Raw genomic sequence first — 22435 nt, 5'->3', positions numbered from 1 at the left:
AGGATGCAACGCTTTACTTAAGTCCACAAATGATAATGCCTTATCATCACCATAGTATCCTATACATCACTTCTGTCTAGAGATCACATTTTATGTGTGGGAATTAAGGTGATGGGCTCATGCCCATAGAATTCACTAACTGTACCATGTATCCCATAACACAGAAGTACCTGGTTTGATGAATTAATGATATATTCTGCTGAAGTCTCAATTCTGTTGCCATCCTTCAAAATTGGGAGGCATTCCTGCAGAATGAGGTAAATGCCTTAAGCCAGCCCCATAGCCAGAATGCACATGTCTGGGAACTACAGAGTAGAGGTAGGAGCGTTTCCTACCTCTACTATTACATCAACACATTGGAGGATGTTTTTGTCTCACCTACAACCCTGAGCTCCAAAGAGTCCTAGTATCCAAAAGAAAAATGCTTTTGATAAGGAATAGAAGACATGGTTTCTGTGAATTGGAAGCTAAGACTGCTGCTTGATCAACTGGAAGATAAGACCGCTTCCAAGAACTATTGATTCTCATGCCACTGAGCCAATAAGCAAATAAGAGGGTTTCTGTATTACCTAGTGTATTGTATTGACTCCAATTATAAAGAAAAATTTGGTTGCTGCTGCAAAATAAGGCCAAAGAGGACCACCAGGGAGTCATTGGTGCACTTCTTAGTACTTTTGCCCAGTAGTCCTGAAAACCTTGGCAACTAAAGAAAGAGACACTAAAAAGTCAGATCCTACAGAAATGAAGAAGCAAAACAATTTTCCCCAGCAGGTAAAGAACTCTCTTCAGCTGAAGTCTGGCAGAGAGGGTAGGGAACACAAAATGTGTGGTGGAAAAGACGCTACAACTGTCAACCAAGGCCTCATGATGAGCTGCAGAAGCAGAGACATTAGAAGCTGTGTTTTATATTAATCAATGGTTTTTCTTCCTGATTTCTCCCCATTAACTTCTATGGGAAACACTGAGCGATGGGTAATGCTTTAGGGTTTAGTTTTCAGTGGAGAGGAGTATTTCAACCCAGGCTCCTTCCAGTCTCTGCTGGTCACTGTGTTCTTCTACCAAGGCCAGAGCTCCTGCCAAGTCTACATTTCTCCTGCCATGAGTCTGTCTCCTGGTTCCAGGATCTACTCCTCCCCGCTGACCCTTTATTAGGTTTTCCAGCCACTCAGCCGGCTAGTGTGTCCCATCTCTCTCCTGCTAAGGTCCTGACACACATAGATGCCATTAACAAGTCCCCCGACATGCAACAGGCTCCTTCCTTTGTATTTCAGGGGGGTAGAAAGGGTTCTTTTAAACCATTTATTACCTGGTATTATATAGGTTACTTTAGAAACTTTATAGAACTTATATATTCTAGACAATCATATATTTTAGACCTGCCTGCTCCCTCTGTTTACAAAAGCTCTTATTAATGTCTTCATTTCTATCACATTGCTACAAACAAAATTTGGTCCTTAGTGCTTCAAAAAGAATTACACTTAATGAGCAGCCACTGTATGCCCAGCACTATGCCAGGAGTTTTGCACACAGTTTATCATTTAAGTGTCACAGGAAAGGCAAATCCCCTCTTCTTGTTGCACAGGTCAAATATTTTGGAGACACCCTTGACCCCTCTTGTCTTCCTTATACCTGGCACATAGCGGACACTCGATGAATGCTTTGAATGAACCAATAAACAATGCTGTGGTGTAGATGTTACTTACATGTTGCAGAAGCAGCTGAGGGCCATTGAGAAATTTGCCTGAGGTGACACAGCTGGGAAGAGCCTGAGCTGAGAGACCCTAGCCTTGCTTTTTGTGTTTCTAATGTCACGTTTTCCCTTGGCCAGGATGCTCTCCAGTGTGGAGCTCCATTTTAGGCTCTTGACTGCTCTTTCTGACCCTGCCTTGGGTGTTGCAACCCACTGTGCCCATTGGTGTTAAGGTTCTCTTTCCTGAAATCTTGTCTTGACAAATTGTTCTCCTACTCAAAAACTTTCATGCCCCCCGCCCCTTAGTCTGCCTGCCAGACTAAGCTTACCACCTTCAGCTTTGCACTGGTGCCCTCCACAATCAATTTCAATTGACCCTTCCAACCGTATTTCCTAACCTTTCTCTAGAGAATCTCCATTCCATTGAAATGTGCCTTTTCCCTGGAGCTCTAATCCACTATGCAGTTCTTTTTTCCCTATGTATTTGTTCAACCCATTTCCTCTACCCAAAATGCCCTCCTGGCACCACTATCCATCCCCAATCCCTTATCCCTGCCTATAGAAAGCCACCTGTTCTTGAAGGCCAGGAGCAGACATCCCATCCCCCTCTGAAGCTCTCTCTGAATAATCTCAGTGCCAGATCCTCCAGAGTGCTTAGGACAGAAAGTTTTACATAGTAGAGGGTTCAATATTTTCTTATAAACTACATCATGCTCTGAAACTTAAATGAAGTACAACTGAGATCTGGGAGCTAATTACACAATCTTAGTATTGTGTATTTATTTCAGAGGTAAGACATACATGCTGTGTGGAGAGCATTGTCTTTGCAATTAGACAGATGGACCTTCAAATCTCATCTCTATTCATGATCTTTCATAAAGTTGGTTGATTTACTTAACCTTTAGAAATTTCAGTTGACTTTTCTGTAAAATGGGGATAATATTACCTTCTTGATAGAATTTTTATAATGATTAGATGGGGTTTTTACACTAAATGCCTGACACCATGATTGACACATAGAAAATACTCAGTAAGTGGATTACACTGGAGCCATCAGAAGCAGGTGAGCTATTATCATGGAATCAGAAAATCCTATACCCACAAGCACCCCAACAGTCATCCAGTCTCAGCCTGCCCTGCCGCTCTTCACCAGCCACCAACAGCAGGCTGATAAACACCAAAGATGTCACCATGATGGTTACAAGTGCCTTCTAAATGAATTTGTGGTTTGGATCACAACAAGTACCATGTAATTCTGACTGAAAGAGATACAGACTGCTAGAGTGTAAAGTGGATTGTCCCTAATTAGAATGAGCATGATCAGTTACCCAATCCTAAAAACTGACAGAACTTTTCAGGGCACAGCAATATCTAGTGGACCATCTACTAAAGGACTTCTTTATGACATGCACCACTGTTAATCATATTCATAAGCCCTTCCATCTCAGACGAGGGGTGATTGAAATGAGTGCTGGATGTCTGAGTAGAGCTGGGAAGATAACATCTTTCAGACACAGCAAAGGAAAGCCCCTTCAGATGAGTGAGCTTGAAAAGTCACCTGGGCTCAGATATATTTAAACTATGTTCTTGAGCTTGTAAATGTCTATGTTTACTGGGTATTGATTTAATGTCTTAAATATCCCAACTTATCAGGAATTGGACTGGATAGGTTGCTATGAGACTTGAAAAACTGGGGCAAAATGTAAGAAACTACCTATTATCTGATTGGCTGAATGCTCATCTTTAAGGGTATGATAGCATTAATATAATGTTCTTTTTATGTATGGGAGCAATGAATTCCATGGAGCATAAAAATAGTACCAACCCAGTCAATAAGGGACTAACAGTATTGAGGTCTGTTTCTCAACTGTGAACTTGTTCCATGACAGGTGAATTTTTGACTGAATTCCAGCCCAATAGCCTCAGAAGAATGGTTGGATGAGAGGTAATTGATGAGCATCAACTTCTGCAATGCTCCCAAGTACAAGGGCAGCTGAAATCACCACCTGGTTATGAATCACAGCCATGTCTAGCCCTTCAAATAAAAATGGGCTCTGGTATGAAAATTTGTCAGTTTGAGATATATCTCATACCTAAAAATGTCTCTAACCAACAGGAACATTACCACCATGAAAGTGGATATTAAACCTCTTTCCCCTGAGGCACTCTGAGTTCAGTGAGAAGACCATGGTTTCAATCAGAGCAATCTTAGGGATCATAAGACAAAATTGGAACCATCTGGGAATAACAAAAAATGTCAAAGAACAAAAATTACCAGGCTTAGGTGAAATCTTTGTAAAGTGCTGTGTGGCACACTGGCTTGGATATATGGCTTTTGCTTTGTGTTTTGTTGTAAGTACTTATCTTTGTTATGCATATTATGAATGCATATTATTTAATTGTGATGTCACAAGGTCATTGGCCTCAGGCTTTTGAAATAATTCTATTGCTATATCGTAGCTGAGGTTTTCCCGCAGAATGATCAGGGGATCATTTCTCATTGGCTAATCTAAAAATATGAAAAAAAAAAAAAAAAGCCAGAAATAATTGGGAGATTACAAACAACCTTGAAAAGAAAGATATGGGAGATGACCAAAATGAACTATAACATATATAGCATACATTATGGTCCTAGGTACAGAAAATGCTCTGTACTTCATAGTTAGATGTGCCAAGCTCTTTTTTTTTTTTTTTTTTTTTGAGACAGAGTTTCGCTTCTGTCGACCAGGCTGGTGCAACCTCCGCCTCCTGAGTTCAAGCGATTCTCCTGGTTCAGTCTCCCGAGTAGCTGAGATTACAGGTGTGCACCACCATGCATAGCTAATTTTTGTATTTTTAGTAAAGACGAGGTTTCATCATGTTGGCCAGGCTGGTCTTGAACTCTTGACCTCAGGCGATCCACCCACCTCGGCCTCCCAAAGTTCTGGGATTACAGGCGTGAGCCACCGTGCCCGGCCATAGCTCTTTGGTATGTAAGTTAGAACAGGCTAAGCAGTAGCAACCCCCTAATGATTTAGGCCACACATGGATGTGATAAGTCAGGAAAAAGGAGCAAGCCAAGATAGAGGACAGTGAGCTGCCCATGGCATACAAGCAACTCACATAACATCTGGGTAATGACTATAGAAGATGACTTTACTCCACCTGGAGCATCTGATTATACCTGGGCTCTTTGCAGTACATGTTAATGACCCAGACCACAAACAGAGTATCGTGGCCAAGCTGTTCTTGCACTGAATTATAAAAGAGACTTGAGGGTTTGTGCAAGCTGTTTGGCAAGACAAGGTTGGCTTGGAGTAAGAACTTCTGGAAATATCAGAAATGAACTCAGAAGAGAAGAAGACTAGGCTGCCTGAAGAGGTAAGTTCCACCCTGACAGAATGAGGCTCCTCCAAGAGGCCACTTCATAATGCTCCCTGCATTCTTTGTGGTACTCGCCTCCTGGAATACTCTTTGCAGGTACTATTGCACTGGTCAGGGAGTAAAGAGGCAAAGAGTCCTCATTTCTTGGACTGAAATGTTTCAGCTCAGCCCCTGCCTCTCTTTACTGAGATCTGATCAGTGACTGTACAATGTTCCTCCTACCATCTTTTCTTCTCCAAGCTGTCTACTGAAACCTCAGCCTCCTATAACCCGGCTAAAAGGCTTTTCAGCCCTTACTTTTCCAGAAGCATCCATCTTCCCAATTTTCTTAGTCTTTTCCTGTTCTGTCTCAGAACATAAAAAGTAAAGCTGTTTCTACTGTTATTCATTTTCACCCCCTTGAGCTGGTGGTTCCAGGGGAGGCCCAGCACATCTCAGGATCAGCTGTGGATGAGAAGATAGAGGCAACAAAGGATTCCCATAGTAAGAGACCTGGCATTTCCCCACCCATGCTCAGCTCCCTGGACTTCTGCCTCTATCCAATCCATCCCCAGATCCTTCCCCAAATCCATCCCAGTCCATCCTAAATCCCAGAAGCTAACAATTATGGCAGAGTTTGTTTTTCCTCTTCATGGAATTCCTGGCCCAGAAGTTGCTGGAATAATCTCAGCTTGGAAACAGTGACTTCTTGCAGGTACTTGAGTAGGTGAAGATTACAAGTGGCCGATGAAGGCCTCTGATCTATCCCTCATTCTCTCCCACAGGGGGTGTGTGACTCTATTTTTTATTTGTTTATTTTTTGAGACTGAGTCTTGCTCTGTCACTCAGACTGGAGTGCAGTGGCACAATCTCGTCTCACTGCAACCTCTGCCCCCTGGGTTTAAGCAATTCTCCTGCCTCAGCCTCCTGAGTAGCTGGGACTACAGGCATATGCCACCACACCTGGCTAACTTTTGTATTTTTAGTAGAGATGGGATTTCATCATATTGGTCAGGCTGGTCTCAAACTCCTGACCTCAGGTGATCCGCCCATCCTGGCATCCCAAAGTAGCTGGGATTATAGGCCTAAGCCACCGCACCTGGCCTGGGTGTGTGACTCTAAGCGACGTGTTTTCTATCTTAGCATCGGAAGTCGTAGCAGATTATTCCTCACTAAGTGAGGAATACATCGCCTGAACACTCCCCTCTCCCTCCAGCTCAGGCTACTTTCCTATTCCCATGCTCCTGCTTCTACCCACCATCTCATTGTGCCAGGCCAGTGGGTCTGAGTCACTGTCCCCAACTCTTCTTCTCTCATCCCTATTTCCCCTGGAGGGTGAAGCTGAGAGATCCCTGGTTTCTGTTCCTTCCCTCTCCTTCTATTAGTATCTCTTTTGTTCTTTCTTAAAGACATTTAAGTAAGTGTAATTCCACTTACTGAGTATTTTCTATGTGTCAATCCTGGTGTCAGGCATTTAGTGATTAGTATCTCTCCTATTAGAATCTCTTTTGTTCTTTCTTAAAGACATTTTGTCATTTGTCTTCCTTCAAGTTCATCTCTTCTGTCCTCTGACTTCTCACCCCCTTCTTAAATAGCACTACTAATTCCAAATCCAAGGGCTCCAACGTCTCTGCTCCATGCCCCATGCAGGGTACCCTGTCACTGGTCATGCTTGCGGCTATGGCTGTGGCTCCTGGGATGTCCTATGGGAATCCATCTGTCACTGCCAGTGTGTTGTTTTGGATGGGGTCACTGCCTGCTCTGAGATATGAGAGCTAAGACCATGTTATTGTGATGCCTAAAGAAACTTCAACCCCAATCAGAAAACCCTCACTAAGTAACATGAGTTATGGCTTCTCAACTCCTATCCCCTCTGCCTGTGACATCTATGCCCAGGTAATAAAGATGGTCTTTGAATTTCTCTTCGTTTGAGTCTATCATTTTCCTAAGGAATAGTGGATGAGAATTAAAATAGCACCTTCTGTTTATTCTCCTCATTTTTCCCCTACCCCCTCATTTCAAGCTGGTGGCCAAGTTTTGCCAACTCTTGCTTCAAGGACTTTGGCTGGACCAAAGTAGTGCCAAGCACATGACTCTTCCAATGTGAGCCCACTGAAGTAGCAAGGTTTCACTGAGTGGGCAGTGATTGAAAGACATTTTGTGTTAGTAAAAACAGGTGGAGAGAGTTCCCTGGGCTGGCAGTTGGAGAGAAGCCTGAAGGCACTCCTAGTAGCAGGTGCAGGACAGTTCTCCAGGTGGCCTTGGACCAACCCAGGTCTCCCTCCTTTCTCACTTGTAGATCTCAAGAATAATCGTAGAACGTGCTGAGAATTCAACATTCTGAGGTAAGGTGGAACTGGACAGATCAGCTCAAGCTCTGTTCCAGTCTCTCCTAGAAAGAGGTTGTTCTTCAACACTTTACCCCATTGAGTCATGCCATTCCCAGGGTATAAATTGCAGGATGGTCTGCTTCCGGGGTTCTTTAGCTGCAGTGCATGTGGGGCATGCACAGACAAGATTCCATGCACCCTGGCAAGTTTTCCTGAACCTTGGGGGACCATCTTACCCTAAATCCTAGGCTTCTACTCTCCTTGATGCCTATCGGTGAGTAATAAAGTTGTTTCACTTTACTTGTTATGTGAGTGTTCTGTCTCACTGGACTTATCAAGTAAATGGAAATTGCAGCCCAAGATGCAGCGGGCTTATATTCATTTGTTCTCATATTGCTATCAAGAACTGCCTGAGACTGGGTAATTTATGAAGAAAAGAGGTTTAATTGATTCACAGTCCCACAGGCTGTACAGGAAGCATGGCTGAGAAGGCCTCAGGAAACATATAATCATGGCGGGAACTGAAAGGGAAAGAGGCACATCTTTACACGGCAGATCAGGAGAGAGAGAGAGAGAAGGGGGAAGTGCCACACACTTTTAAACAACCAGATCTCTTGAGAACTCACTAACCATCAGGAGAACAGCAAGGGGGAAGTCCGCCCCCATGATTCAATCACCTCCTACCAGGCCCCTCCTCCAACACTGGAGAAGACAATTCCACAAGAGATTTGGGTGGAGACACAGAACAAAACCATATTAGAGCTGAAGTGATAACAAGGGCACAGTGAAACTGCTTCACAGCAAGAGTGTCCTCACTTTCCTTCCTTACTTTACTTAGATGAAGTAAAAACACCTTAGAGGATAAGTACCGCATGTTTACCAGGGAGACTAGATTCTAGCATCCAGATAATTCTGTAACCTCAACTAGTGTCTCCAAAGGTGCCATGAAGTTGGGACAACAGGAGTCTCTTGTAAATGATTGATGATAAATAAGGATTTTTTTTTCGTTCCTTAGCTTTATATAAGACATTTAATCCACCCTGAAGTGGATAGCCCCAAAACCAGTGAGTTAAATTTCCTAAAAGCCTAGAAGAATGAGGACATATAGGATGTCCCCAGCCATATCTAAACCCCAACTGTTCTCATCTCATCTCAAGGGGACTTGTGCTGTGAGAACCAAGATGAATACCTAGTAATCCCAGTCCCCTCACTATTCACAAAACTTTAATTGAACATTGTTCTGAGTACTACTTAGGTTTCAGAGGCATGAAGTGGAATATAAACCATCCTTTGCCTATGAGGCTTGTGAGCCTATCAGGGCCCATGGGTGGTTTTAGCACAAGTCACACCCTCATATTTTTGTTTGTTTCTGGCCACATCTGCTGCTTCACCATCACCTAGGGCATGTAGGATAGTTCTCCTCTTCAGACAGAGACCTTGGGGCCACAGGCTGGCTCATACCCTTCACGGCAAGTCATTAACCGTCACCAGCTCACATAGACACTTGGAAAGCCCATCTTTCTCATATGGTGAGGATTTGGGAGTGCAAACAACACACAGCTAAGCAAGCCGTATGGACATAGCTGTCTCAGCCTTAGAGATCTTAGAGATCTTAGGATAAGAAAGTGACATCCCAGCCCACGCCTAGAAGGAACAGAAACAATGAGAGGACACCCACAAGATGATTGGTAGAATTTTTATATCTTAGACAAAGAAAAGGTTGACCCAAAACACAGATTACTTTCTCAAGTTTACTTTTTTCTTTGTGGGCAATAACTGGAGTTCAAACCAGGAAGGCCTCATGAACTGTTGCAAATGTGGTTGGTTAAAAATATTTTTAGCAAATGTTTCTTAAGCACCTATGGTGCACTAGACATTTTGGTAGGTGCTAGACATTTGGCAGATCTCAGTGATGAGGATATTGCACCCGCACTCAGCTGTTCATAGAATAGTCAGACTGATATAATTTCAAAACAGTGCAGTAAATGCTAGGTTGAAGGGGTGTCCCAGGTTCAATGACACAAGTGAGCAATATCTAACTCAGGTTGAAGGTCAGGGAGGGTACCTAGAGGAGGTGACACCAGAACTTGTCTTAAAAAGATGAAGCAGCATTAGCCATAGGAGGATGAGGAAATGAGGGTACCAGACAGGAAGCTCAGGCAGCCCAGTGATTGTGGGTGGAGGGGGTGATATGATTTGGCTCTGTGTCCCCACCCAAATCTCATCTTGTAATCTCCCCATGTTGAGGGAGGGACCTGTAATTTCATCTGTCGAGAGAGGGAGGTGATTGGATCATGGGGGCAGTTTCCCCCAAGCTGTTCTCATGATAGTGAGTGAGTTCTCACGAGATCTGATGGTTTTATAAGGGTTTGGAAGTTTCTCCATCACTTCTCTCTCCTGCTGCCTTGTGAAGAAGGGGCCTGCTTCCCCTTCTGCCATGATTTTACATTTCCTGAGGCCTCCCCAGCCATATGGAACTGTGAGTCAATTAAACTTCTTTTCTTTATACATTACCCAGTCTCAGGTATTTCTCTATAGCAGTGTGAGAATGGACTAATACAAGGAGATTAGGAGAATGGCCACCAGCAGTTTTGTATTATTGGAACTTAGAGTGAGAAAGTGGTAAGACAGATTATGCTAGATAGACCAGTAATTGGGTGATGGTAGGGATGGTACTAGATTTTATAAATCAGGCTTTGAATAAAAAGCTTTAAATATATCTGGGTGGTAGGCAGCCTCCAAGACAGTCTCCAATTATTCCCACATCTCAATATTCATGCCCTGGCGTAATATTACCCCCCACATGCCTGGCTTTTGTGAAAAATTGACTTATTATCATTTTTAAATTCTTTTAAGAGACAGGTTCTCACTCTGTCACCCAGGCTGGAGTGTAGTGGCCTCCTGGACTCAAGTGATTCCCCTTCACCTTCTGCCATGATTATAAGTGTCCTGAGGCCTCCCCGGTCATACAGAACTGTGAGTCAGTTAAACCTCTCTTGTTTATATATGTTTTGTTTATGTATGTTTTAAGAAAGCAATTCAGATTTGTCCTTTGGACAGATCTCATGGGCAGTTGAAAGAAGATATACGTGGAGATGCAAGACACAAGAGGTGGAGCAGTAAGTTACTACCACATTCCAGGGTAGAAGCTGAAATGTATCCCACTTTGGAAGGAAACTCAGCAGTGTTTAGCATCAGATACCAAATGCTCCTGTGAAATGGATTCCTTGCCTACGGCAGCTTCAGAGCATCTCTGTTTAACCCTTTCAGACCTACTACTACATAGGCTCCACTAGCCACTTTATAAAACGTGTCTGTGTGTACTATGCATTTTAAAAATCTCCACTACTTACTTGTTTACCATATCATTCCTTCTTTTTCATTCCCATCACCTCAACCACAACTTAGGTTTTTTGTTTTTTTTTTACGGACTGTTGCTCTATCACCCAGGCTAGGGTAGAGTGGCACAATCTCAGCTCACTGCAACCTCCACCTCCTGGGTTCAAGTGATTCTCCTGCCTCAGCCTCCCAAGTAGCTGGGATTACAAGTGCCCGCCACCATGCCCGGCTAATTTTTGTATTTTTAGTAGAGATGGGGTTTCACCATCTTGGCCAGGCTGATCTCGAACTCCTGACCTCGTGATCTGCCCGCCTCTGCCTCCCAAAGTGCTGGGATTAGAGGCGTGAGCCACCGCTCCCAGTCTACAGCTTACGTTTTTATCACTGCAAGAGAGCTAACATTTATTGAGCCTCTACTATGCCCTAAGCACCATGGTCCTGGAATTAGTCAGGCTACACTAACTGTTGAGTTATCTGAGGCAAGTTATTTAACACCTTAAACTTCAGTTTCCTTGTATTTGAAAATGGATATATAATACACTAATCAACGGTGTTATTGTAAGATTTAAATGATGTATACATGTGAAGACAACAAAATGCTACCTTTCTTATTATTATTCTGAAGTTATGTTTCTTATGTCAGCTTTGTGAGGACATTTCCCATTTTTCAAATCAGATTAACATAATTTATAAAAGTTAAATAACATTCCCAAGGTCACTAAAAGTTCTGTTTGCAATTATTTGAATTTAGGGATTAGGATGAAAAAGGTGAAGCAATTTTTAGCCTGTGTAGGAAAATTTTCTATTTCAAGGTTTTTTTGTTTTTTTATTGTTGTTGTTTGTTTGTTTGAAAACAGAAGCCATGACCCTACTAACATTTGGGGACCTGCACTGGTAAGCTACAATCCAAAAGAAGGTGGTCATTGCCAGCGTGCCTACCTGATGGCACAAAGGCTGTCTCATGGCCAGTCCCCTCCAGTGAAGCCACTAGTGGGGAGCTGCTGTGCCCACACACACTCAGCATCTACAGAACTGTCCGGCTGCCCACTCTTCAACAAAAACAGACAGCAAAGAATCTACACATAGGAAAAAGGGAGAACCAGCTAAATAAATGATCAAAAAGAGCCCTGATAAAACAGATGATTCAAGGGGTTTTATTCTAAAATAATAAAGTGTGTATAACAAGTAAATATTTATATTAAAGAAATCAACAGTAACCAAAAAGCAACAAAACATATAATGTATTCACATGTGAGTGTATGCACATAAATGCATAGAAAAACATGACGGGAGGAGCTCAGATTTGCGGTGTAATCAAGTGGGATTTCCTCTCTCTGTAAGAGCTCAACTCTTTTATAAATGGTAGCGGTTAAATCACGGCCTCTGGAAACAGGAGAGCTGACTTCCAATTCTGCTTTTGCCGCTTACTTTTTGTGTAAACTTGAAATTGTTGCATAATCTCTCTACTATGCCTCAGTTTCCTGATCTATAAAATAGGAGTGCATACCTCATAGGGCTGTTGAAAGAATTAAATGAATTAATGGATTAATATATGTAAAACATCACATAAATATTAGCTTTAACTGCTTATGTAATTTAAACACGTTTTACGTACCATTTTCCGAAGTACCAGTGCAAGACCTAGTACCTAGTAAGTGCTCTATAGCATTATTTATCTCACTGGAGGTGACATTTCAAAAACACTGCTCTGTCATTGACATTAATCTTCTCATTCTTGTCTACACCAAATCATTGCTTTTTCTACTGCAAACAGTGATGAATCTGGCAGAATAAGGTCTTCAGCAGAAGAGAGACCAAGTAAGATGAGGAGCTGTGCCAGGGATCTGTCCATTTGTAATCCCAGAAAAGATAAAGAAGACATTTCTAAAGCATTAACTTATGGGCTTAGAATTCTAAATTACATCACCTATAAATCTCAGCTCCCTTTCAGTGAGCCTTACACCTGAGCGTGAACACTGAAGAAAAATGGTGTTATTTATCTGCTAAAGCCCCACGGATGGCAAAGATCCCAGAATTAACATTTATAATAAAGACTGCTGAAGAAGCACTGCCCACTCTAAATCAATTCTAGGTATTTTATCTGGTAACCATCTCTGTAGTATAATTCAGACAGGAAATGAGAGGGCCATCCACAGGAAATTCTCTGGTCATAGTTGATTTTACTGGCTCTGGGTGGTTTAATGAAAATGGTATTTTTTCTTTCCTCCTCCCCATCAGGAAAAGCAACTGTGATTAGCACAATTTTTTTTAACTCCTCATTGGTGTTTTTTAGCTTTGTCTTTCCTCCTACAAGAATTAAGCATTCCATGGTTGTTTAAATGCAGGTTCTATAATGTTACATGGAAATTGGAATTAAATGTTAGTGTTGGTTATAATTGAAATTTTTTTTTCATTTTAAACTGTCAAGTTAGTGACTGTAAAGGAAAGAGGTGTTTTCGTATTGTTGTTTTTAATCACTTGTTCATCTAAAGAGAAATACTACAGATTCTAATAACGTTAAAAGTAAAAAACAAAAAAAAAATCACCAAATGTAGCTCAGACCAAATTGAATGCATGTCAAATCACCATGTGACTATTAAAGAAATGCCTCAGCAGAGAGAAAAAGTCATTTCCTTTAAAATGCAAGATAAAATAAGAGCACATAACAACTTCCCAATGTTTTGATTTAAAAGAGTGCTACACAGCCAATGAGGGTACAAAAATTCTGAAGCAAGAGAACTGGAAATGTGCCTGACTTTTAATATTTTAAAAAGCAACCGTCTAGGAGATTTTTGAGGAGTTTCACTCTGGAAAGGATAAGAACTGTATCAGAGCAACTGACATAGACCTGGCCTCCCCCGAGCAAATATTTATTGAAGATTGGCTAGCCCTGGCAGCTTGAAGGTACTATGGATGGAAAGATCAACAGAGTAAAATTTTCTTTTCTGGAAATGCTAAAAGTCTACTTGGAGAGCTATAATCAACCTAGGGCAGTAAGTGAAAATAATCAAGACCAAGTTCAGATATAAAGCAATCACTGAGGTTTAAATTTGAGGAAACACAGATTACAGGCAATAGCAATGGAATGACAAAAACAGAGAAGATTTGAGTTCTAGTCTTGCCTCTCCCACTAATTAGTTTTTGGCTTTGGACAAGTTACTGAAACTCCCTGGGCTCAGTTCTCTGTTGTGGAGGGGTGCAGACTGGGAAAGGAGCATAAGCAAAACCTAGGGAAGCAAAGTAGCTCTGTGATGTACCAGGCAAGCCCCCTCCTCTTTTGATAAGTTGGAAGAGTTTCATAGATGACTCTGTATGCCTTAAGAGCCCGAGGAAAGTAGGACTTTCTGGAGAAGACGAACAAAGTGAAATCTCTCCTTTCTAAGATGTCACTGTCTTGTAGAGAAGAAGCACTTTCAACACTTAAGTACACAGAAGGTGAATGATAATGTTGAATTGCACGTTCTCTTGTGATTCGTGCTAGTTCAGTCACCATGATTTCTGTTATCTTTGAAGCCCATACAAGGATGCTATAGCTGTGAATATAAAATGAAAAAAAAATCACTCTCTTGATATTAGGCATTCAGCCTCACTGGTAATTAAGTGCAAATTAAAATGAGATAACATTTTTCATTTATCAGATTGGCAAGGATTTAAAGAATAGTATTATCTAGACTTATTGTGGATGTGTAAGGAAATGGGCACTCACCTACTGCTATTAAGAGGGGAACTGATTCTGCTTTTTCCAAAAAGACAATCTGACAACACAATCTTTTACATTTCTTTTAAAAAAGCATATTTTTCAAAACAGCAACCTCATTTCTAGCAATTGCTCCTGAGGAGACAATTGAATGAGAGCCCCAAAGTATATGCAACATTGTTCCTATGGCACTGTTTAAAATTGTAAAAAATAGGCTGGGCACGGTGGCTCACGCCTATAATCCCAGCACTTTGGAAGGCTGAGGTGGGCAGATCACTTGAGCTCAGGAATTTGAGACCAGCCTGGGCAACATGGTGAAACCCCGTCTCCACCAAAAATACCAAAAATTAGCAGGGCATGGTCCCAGCTCCTTGGGAGGCTGAGGTGGGAGCATCACTTGAGCCTGGGAGGCAGACATTGCATTGCAGTGAGCTGTGATTGCATCTCTGCACTCCAGCCTTGGGTAAGAGGCTCAAAAAAAAAAACGTAGAAAGCAATCCTAAATATCTGGTAACAGATTTATTGGATAAACTTAAAACATACGTAAAATGAAATACCACACAGCCATTAAAAATAAATTTTGACTTAAAGTTTTTTACAAACCAAGCTGGGTGTCTGTGGGTGATAAAATCTGGGATGATTATTTATTTTTTTCTTTATATGCTTTCTGAAATTTGCTACAATGTTGATTATGATCAATCATTGATTTAACTGCAGGCAGACTGCCCCTGGGTTCAAACGCCCGTTCTAAAGAGATACTGGGGAAAATATCTTAACCTCTCTAAGCTCCTTTCCTCATTTGTAAAATGGAACTGATTATCCCACTTCATGAACATAAGGATCAAATTTAAAAATGCATGCAGGAGGCCAGGTGCAGTGGCTCATGCCTGTAATCCCAACACTTTGGGAGGATGAGGCAGGAGGACTGCTTGAGCCCAGGAGTTTGAGACCAGCTTGGGTGACACAGTGAAAATCTATCTCTGCGAATTTTTTTTTTGATTAGCCAGATGTGGTTGCAGCATGTGCCTGTAGTCTCAGCATGTAGGAGGCTGAGGCAGAAGGATGGCCTGAACCTGGGAGGTTGAGGCTTCAGTGAACTGTGATCCCGCCACTGCACTCCAGCTTGGGTGACACAGCGAGACCTTATCTCTATAAATAAAAATAAATAAATACACAAAAATAAGCAATAAATAAACAATGGGGGGGGAAGAAAATGCATGTGATGACTGGCTTAAACATAGCAGTATTATTACTTAGTCATCCATTTAGCTGAAAATAGTGGCAAAAGAGAGGAGTAGAAACTTGGTGTCTCATACAACTTCTCTATATTCCTATGTGATCAGTGGTTTCTATCATCAAGGTGGCTTCCAGATTGTTTGGAGCAGCTCTGGAATGTGGGTGTCTCCACCACCATCTACACATGCTACCTACCCAGCCAGGTTGCAGACCACTCCACTGCCCAAAGGGCTTCCCAGCTTTCTGCTCTGCTCTGGATAACCACTGCTTCAGACTACTTTGGAGGGGGCTTGCCTGGCACATCACAGAGCTACTTTGCTTCCCTAGGTTTTGCTCACACTCCTTTCCCAGTCTGCACCCCTCCACAACAGAGACCTGAGCCCAGGGAGTTTCAGTAACTTGTTCAAAGCCAAAAAGGAATTAGCGGGAGAGGCAAGACTAGAACTCAGATCTTCTCTCTTCTTGTCATTCCATCACTATCACCTGTAATCTATGTTGCCTCATATTTAAACCCCAATGATTGCTTTTATCTGAACTTGGTCTTGATTATTTTCAGTTACTGCCCTTGGTTAATGTAGAAAGCAATCCTAAATATCTGGTAATAGATTTATTGACTTTAAATTTATATAGGGTGTCCCCAATCAGACTACTGCCTCTCCTGTCTGCAAAGTTTGAACTCAGTCTTCTCAATAAATATCCTGATAAGAGACACTTTTATTCCACCCCAGCCAGACACCTCAGGATAAAAGCAGCAAATATTCTTGACATCAAGGAAGACTCAGAATTCCTTCCCCAAACCAGTCCTTTGAGCTATACTTCTTCTTTGCTCACTTCTGTGATGTTGGTAGGTATGATTTAATCCATTATTAGATAAGGAAGTCAAGGCGCAGAGACTCAGAAATTGGGATTCCACTCTCAGAAGTGCTCACACTGCCAGTGATCAAAAGACTAGTCTTCACATTCTAAACCCCACGTTTCTCACTGCTCAAGAAAATACAGTCTTTAAAAACTACTTTTCGGCTGGGTGCAGTGGCTCACGCCTGTAATCTCAGCACTTTGGGAGGCCGAGGCGGGTGGATTACGAGGTCAGGATATCAAGACCATCCTGGCTAACACAGTGAAACCCCTGTCTCTACTAAAAATAAAAAAAATTAGCCGGGCGTGGTGGCAGGCGCCAGTAGTCCCTGCTGCTCGGGAGGCTGAGTCAGGAGAATGGCCTGAACCCGGGAGGCGGATCTTGCATTAAGCTGAGATCGTGCCACTGCACTTCAGCCTGGGCAAGAGACAGAGACTCCGTCTCAAAAACAAAAACAAAAAACAAAAAAACAAAACAAAACAAAAACAAAAAACAAAACAAAACAAAAAACTACTTTTCTGCTTTTCCAAGTCTCCATATAGAAGCAAGAACATATTTACTCCAATAATTACAGCAGAGTATATTCTTTTATGTAGAGAGAGATTTGTTGACTCAGATATTTGATTGGGGACACCCTATATATTTTTTAAATTAAAAAAATTCAAATTAAAAAAATTTTTTTGCCAAAAATCTATTGATTTGATTGCTTTCAGTACTGCCCTCTCTTCTGCCAGCTGAAGAGAGACCCGTAATCTCTCTTCCCCATTTTTGTATTGCTTTATTTTGTGGGGACTTTATTTTCTCTAACTAAATTTAGAGGTCAGATGCCGCTGGGATTTTTTTTTTTTTCTGTGTACCAAATGTTCACCTTTAGTTTTATATTTAGAGAGAAAATAGAGAAAACAGAGATATGTAATATCCAATTCAGGATAACATTCTGGGCCCCAAATTATATAGGATGTCCCCAATCAAATATTTGAGTCAACAAATCTCTTTCTGCAAAGAAGAATATACTCTGCTACTGTAATTATTGGAGTAAATATGTTCTTGCTTCTATACAGAGACTTGGAAAAGTAGAAAAGTAGTTTTTAAATAATATATTCTCTTGAGCAGTGAAAAACATGTGGGATTTAGAGTGTGAAGACTAGTCTTCTGATCACTGGCAGTGTGAGCATTTCTGAGAGTGGAATCCCAATTTCTGAGTCTCTAAGCCTTGATTTCCTTATCTAATAATGGATCAAATCATACCTACCAACATCACAGAAGTGATGTGAGGATCACACGGTATTAGTGAAAGTGATGTGCAAATGTTGAAAGCTTTGTAAAAGTTAATTGCTCTTTTTTAAAAAAATGTTATTGCTCTTTCTTAGGTATAATATCTCAGTTAGCCTATGAAGAGAATGTTGTGGATCTCCCTCCAACTCACTTCACAAGTATTTAGGTAATAAAAATATTTCTATCAGATTTATTTTATTTCTGTGGCCAATTATTTCAAGTTTTGACATTTACCCATGATTTTATTTCATACAAGTAGCTAAGAATGAGGAATATTTGACACTTTGATTTCATCAATTAAAGAGAATTTTTCTTTAATTTTTTTAAAGCCTTTTAAGCTATATATAGCATTAACACTTCTGATGTCATGTCTTTACAGATTCAAGGCTGGGCACAGGAAGCAGATGGCAGGTACAATTGCTGAGAGTTGCAATCTGGTCTCAGCAAAACTGGTATCACAGGGACATAATTCACTTATGCTGACGTGCAGGTGCTTTTGCGAAAACATTGTCGTGTAGCAGAAAGAGCATGGGCTTTGGAGTCACACTGACCTAGGTTGAAGTCTTAGATGAGTTCTCACTTTAGTTTTCTTTCTTTAAGATGTAGATAACTCCTACCTTGCACCATGATTTGAGGACTAAATAAGGAAAATAATATTAAGTTCTATAGCAACCCTGAAACACACACATTAAAAGTATGTCTTTTCTTCTTCTGTCTGTGGTGCTTCCTTTAAGCACCCCTTCCCCTCCTTCACCCTCAAGGCTGATGCTCCCATACCTCCAGCTGAGTTTCCAGCCATCTTGCTCCAGCACCTTGAAGGTCAAGTTGGCAGCAAACTCAACTCACATGCTGCAAGTCTTCCATTTGGGAGGGTCCTGCCTTACAAAACTACTTCCTAGACACGACGCTAATTACTTGGTACATAGAAACGTGAATTCAAATCTGTGTCTTGATGAATGTCTGCTCATTGACTATGCATCTATTTATCACAGAATGGCAATGACACCTTTTCCCAGAAGGAAATTTTTCTGATTTACATATATGTGGCTGATGCATGAAGTGGGTTTTATAAATCACTATGTCATCGCCACCAAAAAATGCCCTCTAGCATGATTAGAAAGAGCCTGTGACAAGGGCCCTATCAAATTGAATGGAAAGGCCATAAAACCATCAGTTCATTTGACATAAAACTGATATATTATGTGATAATGCTTCAAGTAGAACCTGAGACCCCATTCATCACACAGGCTGCTCCACAGCTAGGTTCTGAGCTATGTGTTAATGAAACCTTCGTGCTCGACTCACACTGCAAATTGTAGTCCCCAGTCAGCACTGGGGACCCACACACCGGAATATGTTCCCATTGAAAATACACTTCATTCACTAACAAACTTTCTTGGGAGAAAGTTACATCAGGACAAGGGTCGTACACCCTCTTGGGGGTAGTGTTCTCACACGTAAAAGGTCAGACTAGATCCATGGTTCTTCCTAAGAGAAATACATCAGGCTTATCTGGCTGGCCTATAAAAGAAGTGCCAATGCTGGGGCCCCATCTCAGGGGAAGATCTAGGAATTCTCAGCTTTGAAAAGATCCCCAGGTGATTCTAATGCTCCCCATGGGTTAGTTTTTCTACCCAAAATGTCATCCCAGGATCAACAGCATCAGCATCAGCTGGTAGCCTATTAAAAACGCAGGATCTCAGACTTCACCCCAGACCCACTGAATCAGAATCTGAGTTTTAACAAGATCCCCAATGAGTTGATGCACGTTAAAACTCGAGCAGCATTAGAAGTGTTTCACAGCCTTGGCCCTATTTTAACATCTCCCGGGAAGCTTTTGAACATCCCAATGTCAAACTGTGCCATCAACTCATCAAAATCTCTGATGGTGGAATGCAAACATCAGGTTTTTTGGGTTGTTATGTGGTTTTTTAATCTCCCCAGGTGATTCTAATGTGTAGCTAAGCTTGAGACCCACTCGCTTAGAACCTCATTTACAGTTTACATCGGAGGCTTCAGCTGGAGTCCCGACAGCATGATAACGGGAGTTTGTACAATCGTGGCTTAAGGGGAGCACTTTGAACAACAGCACAAAGGAGACAGTCATTCCTACTGTGTTCCTCCCTCATGCCTGATATTCTGCTTCAGTCTTTCATATGTACCTTGAAGACAATCCTGTCAGGTAGGAATTGTTAAATACTTTTAAAACGAGAAAACCGAGGCTTGGAGAGGTAGAGAGACTTACCCAAGATTATGTAGCTAGCAAGTGGTGTTCATCAACTCCAAAGCCAATGTTCTATGACATTATCCTCCCCTCCATGTGAACAACTGTCCCTCTCAATTTGTGCCTCCAGGGAGTTAATATTATATTTTTTTCAGTGAGAGCACAGTTTCAGCAATGATAGAAATAGGGTGATTGCCACTTCTAGGGTCAATCTATGAATATCAACAGAACAGAATGTGGTGAAAGACCCAAACTTGAAGCTTCTTTGGGGGACAGGATCAGTAGAAAACTAGAGGGGCCCAGATCCAACAAGCTGGGTGGTAGTTCTGGATGGGAATTTGTACTAGCATCTGCTCCATTTGAGTAATACCACCTTAGGATGTAATGATCATGCTGCTATGCGAAATTCAGTGCTCGCTTTTCTTGGCAACTTGAGGTATAATTGACATACAGTAAACTGCACATATTTAAAGTGTATAATTTGATAAGTGTTGACATATGTATATACTCATGAAACCATCACAACCAAGATAATAAACATATCTGTCACCTCCTCCCCAATTTTTCTTTGTGCTTTTTCATAATAACTCTGTCCTGTCCCTCCCTGTGCCCTCCCTGTTCCCAGGTAACTATCAGTCTGCTTTCTCTCATTATAGGTAAGTTTGCATTTTCTAGAATTTTATACAAATGAAGTCATACAGTATATACTTTTTTTTTGGTCTGGCTTCTTTCAATCAACACAATTATCTTGAAATTTATCCAAATCGTTTCACGTGTCAAATGTTCATTCTTTTTATTGTTCTTGCACTCACCTGGTGAGGGATATTTAGGTTATTTCCAGTTTAGGGGTCATGCAAATAATGCTTTTATGAGTACTCATATACAAGCCTTTTATGAATTTCATTTCTCTGGGATGAATACCTCGGAGTGTAATGTCTGGGTCATATGCAAGATGTATGTTAAAGTTTTTAAGAAAACCCTCAATTATTTTCCAAAGTGGCATTTTATATTTCCAAAAGCAGTATAGGAGAGTTCCTTATGCTCCACATATGCATCAACACTTGTTATGTTCAGTCTTTTTTAATTTTAGACATTCCAATAAATGTATAGTGGTATCTCATTGTGGTTTTAAGTCGCATTTTCCTAATAATGTTGAGGGTCCTTTCATGTACTTATTTGGAATCTCTGTCTAAGTGTCTGTTCTAATGTTTTGTCCATTTTTCATTGAGTTGTTTTCCTATTATTACATTTTGAAAGTTCTCTGGACATACTGGATAAATGTAATTTGACTTTCAAATATTTTCTCTCAGTCTATGGTGTGTCTTTTAATTCTCTTAATGTTGCCTTTTGAAGAGAAACAAGTTCTTACTTTGGATGAAGTCCAATATATCAATTTCTCCTTTTGTGGATTGTACTTTTGATATTGTATCTAAAAACCCTTTGCCTAACCCAAGTTCACAGTAATTTTCTTCTATGTTTACTTCTAAAATTATGATAGTTTTAAATTTTACATTAAGATCTATCATCATGTGCAAGGTATGGTCAAAGTTTATTTTCATATGGACATTCAACTGTTTCAGTAGTTGTTGGAAAGCCAATCCATTCTCCACTGAATTCTCTTGAAATTTTGTCAAAAATCAGCTATTTACCTCTGTATAGGTTTATTTATGGACTTTCTGTTCTGTTGCTTTTCATGTTTTCCTATCTAGACACACTACTTCACTGGCTTGGTTACTACAGCTTTAAATTTAGCATAGAAATGAGGTAGTGGGAATTCTCCAGCCTTGTTCTTCATTTTTGTTTTGTTTTGTTTTGGTTTTGAGATGGAGTCTTGCTCTGTCGCCCAGGCTGGAGTGCAGTGGCATGATCTCGGCTCACTGCAAGCTCTGCCACCCAGGTTCATGCCATTCTCCTGCCTCAGCCTCCCGAGTAGCTGGGACTACAGGCACCCACCACCACACCCAGCTAATTGGTTTGTATTTTTAGTAGAGACAGGGTTTCACCATGTTAGCCAGGATGGTCTTGATCTCCTGACCTTGTGATCCACCCGCCTTGGCCTCCCAAAGTGCTGGGATTAAAGGTGTGAGCCACCGCACGCGGCCTGTTCCTCATTTTCAATTTTGTTTTGGTTAGTCTAGGTTCTTTGAATTTCCAAATGAACTTTAGAATCAGCTTGTTTAATTTCTACAAAAAGAAAGTCTGCTGAAATTTTAATTGAGATTGTGTTATATTTAGAGATCAATTTGGGGAGAATTGATATTTTAGTAACATTGAGTGTTCCAATCCATGAACATAGCATTTCTCTTCATATGTTTAGGTCTTCTTAATTTCTTTCAGCAATGTTTGTAGTTTTTAATGTAGAGGTCTTGCATATCTTTTGTTGGATTTATTCCCAAGTATTTCATATATGTTTGATGTTCTTGTAAACATACTGTTTTTAAATTTT

General features: G+C 41.0%; 1 long non-coding RNA gene across 1 annotated transcript; it reads left to right on the top strand.

The window, feature by feature from the left end:
* The first annotated feature begins 4594 nt into the window (after positions 1-4594).
* On the top strand, positions 4595-18676 carry LOC105374033 (uncharacterized). The gene is made up of 4 exons (XR_924321.1): positions 4595-5050; positions 7332-7377; positions 17861-17931; positions 18145-18676. It is a non-coding gene; the product is annotated as an uncharacterized LOC105374033 (long non-coding RNA).
* The last annotated feature ends 3759 nt before the right edge of the window (positions 18677-22435 follow it).

The sequence above is a fragment of the Homo sapiens genome, chromosome 3 (genome assembly GCF_000001405.40).
Source record: "Homo sapiens chromosome 3, GRCh38.p14 Primary Assembly".
In the NCBI taxonomy this organism is placed as follows: Eukaryota; Metazoa; Chordata; class Mammalia; order Primates; family Hominidae; genus Homo; species Homo sapiens.
Note: the sequence above shows the minus strand (reverse complement) of the source record. Positions and strands in the feature narration are given on the sequence as shown.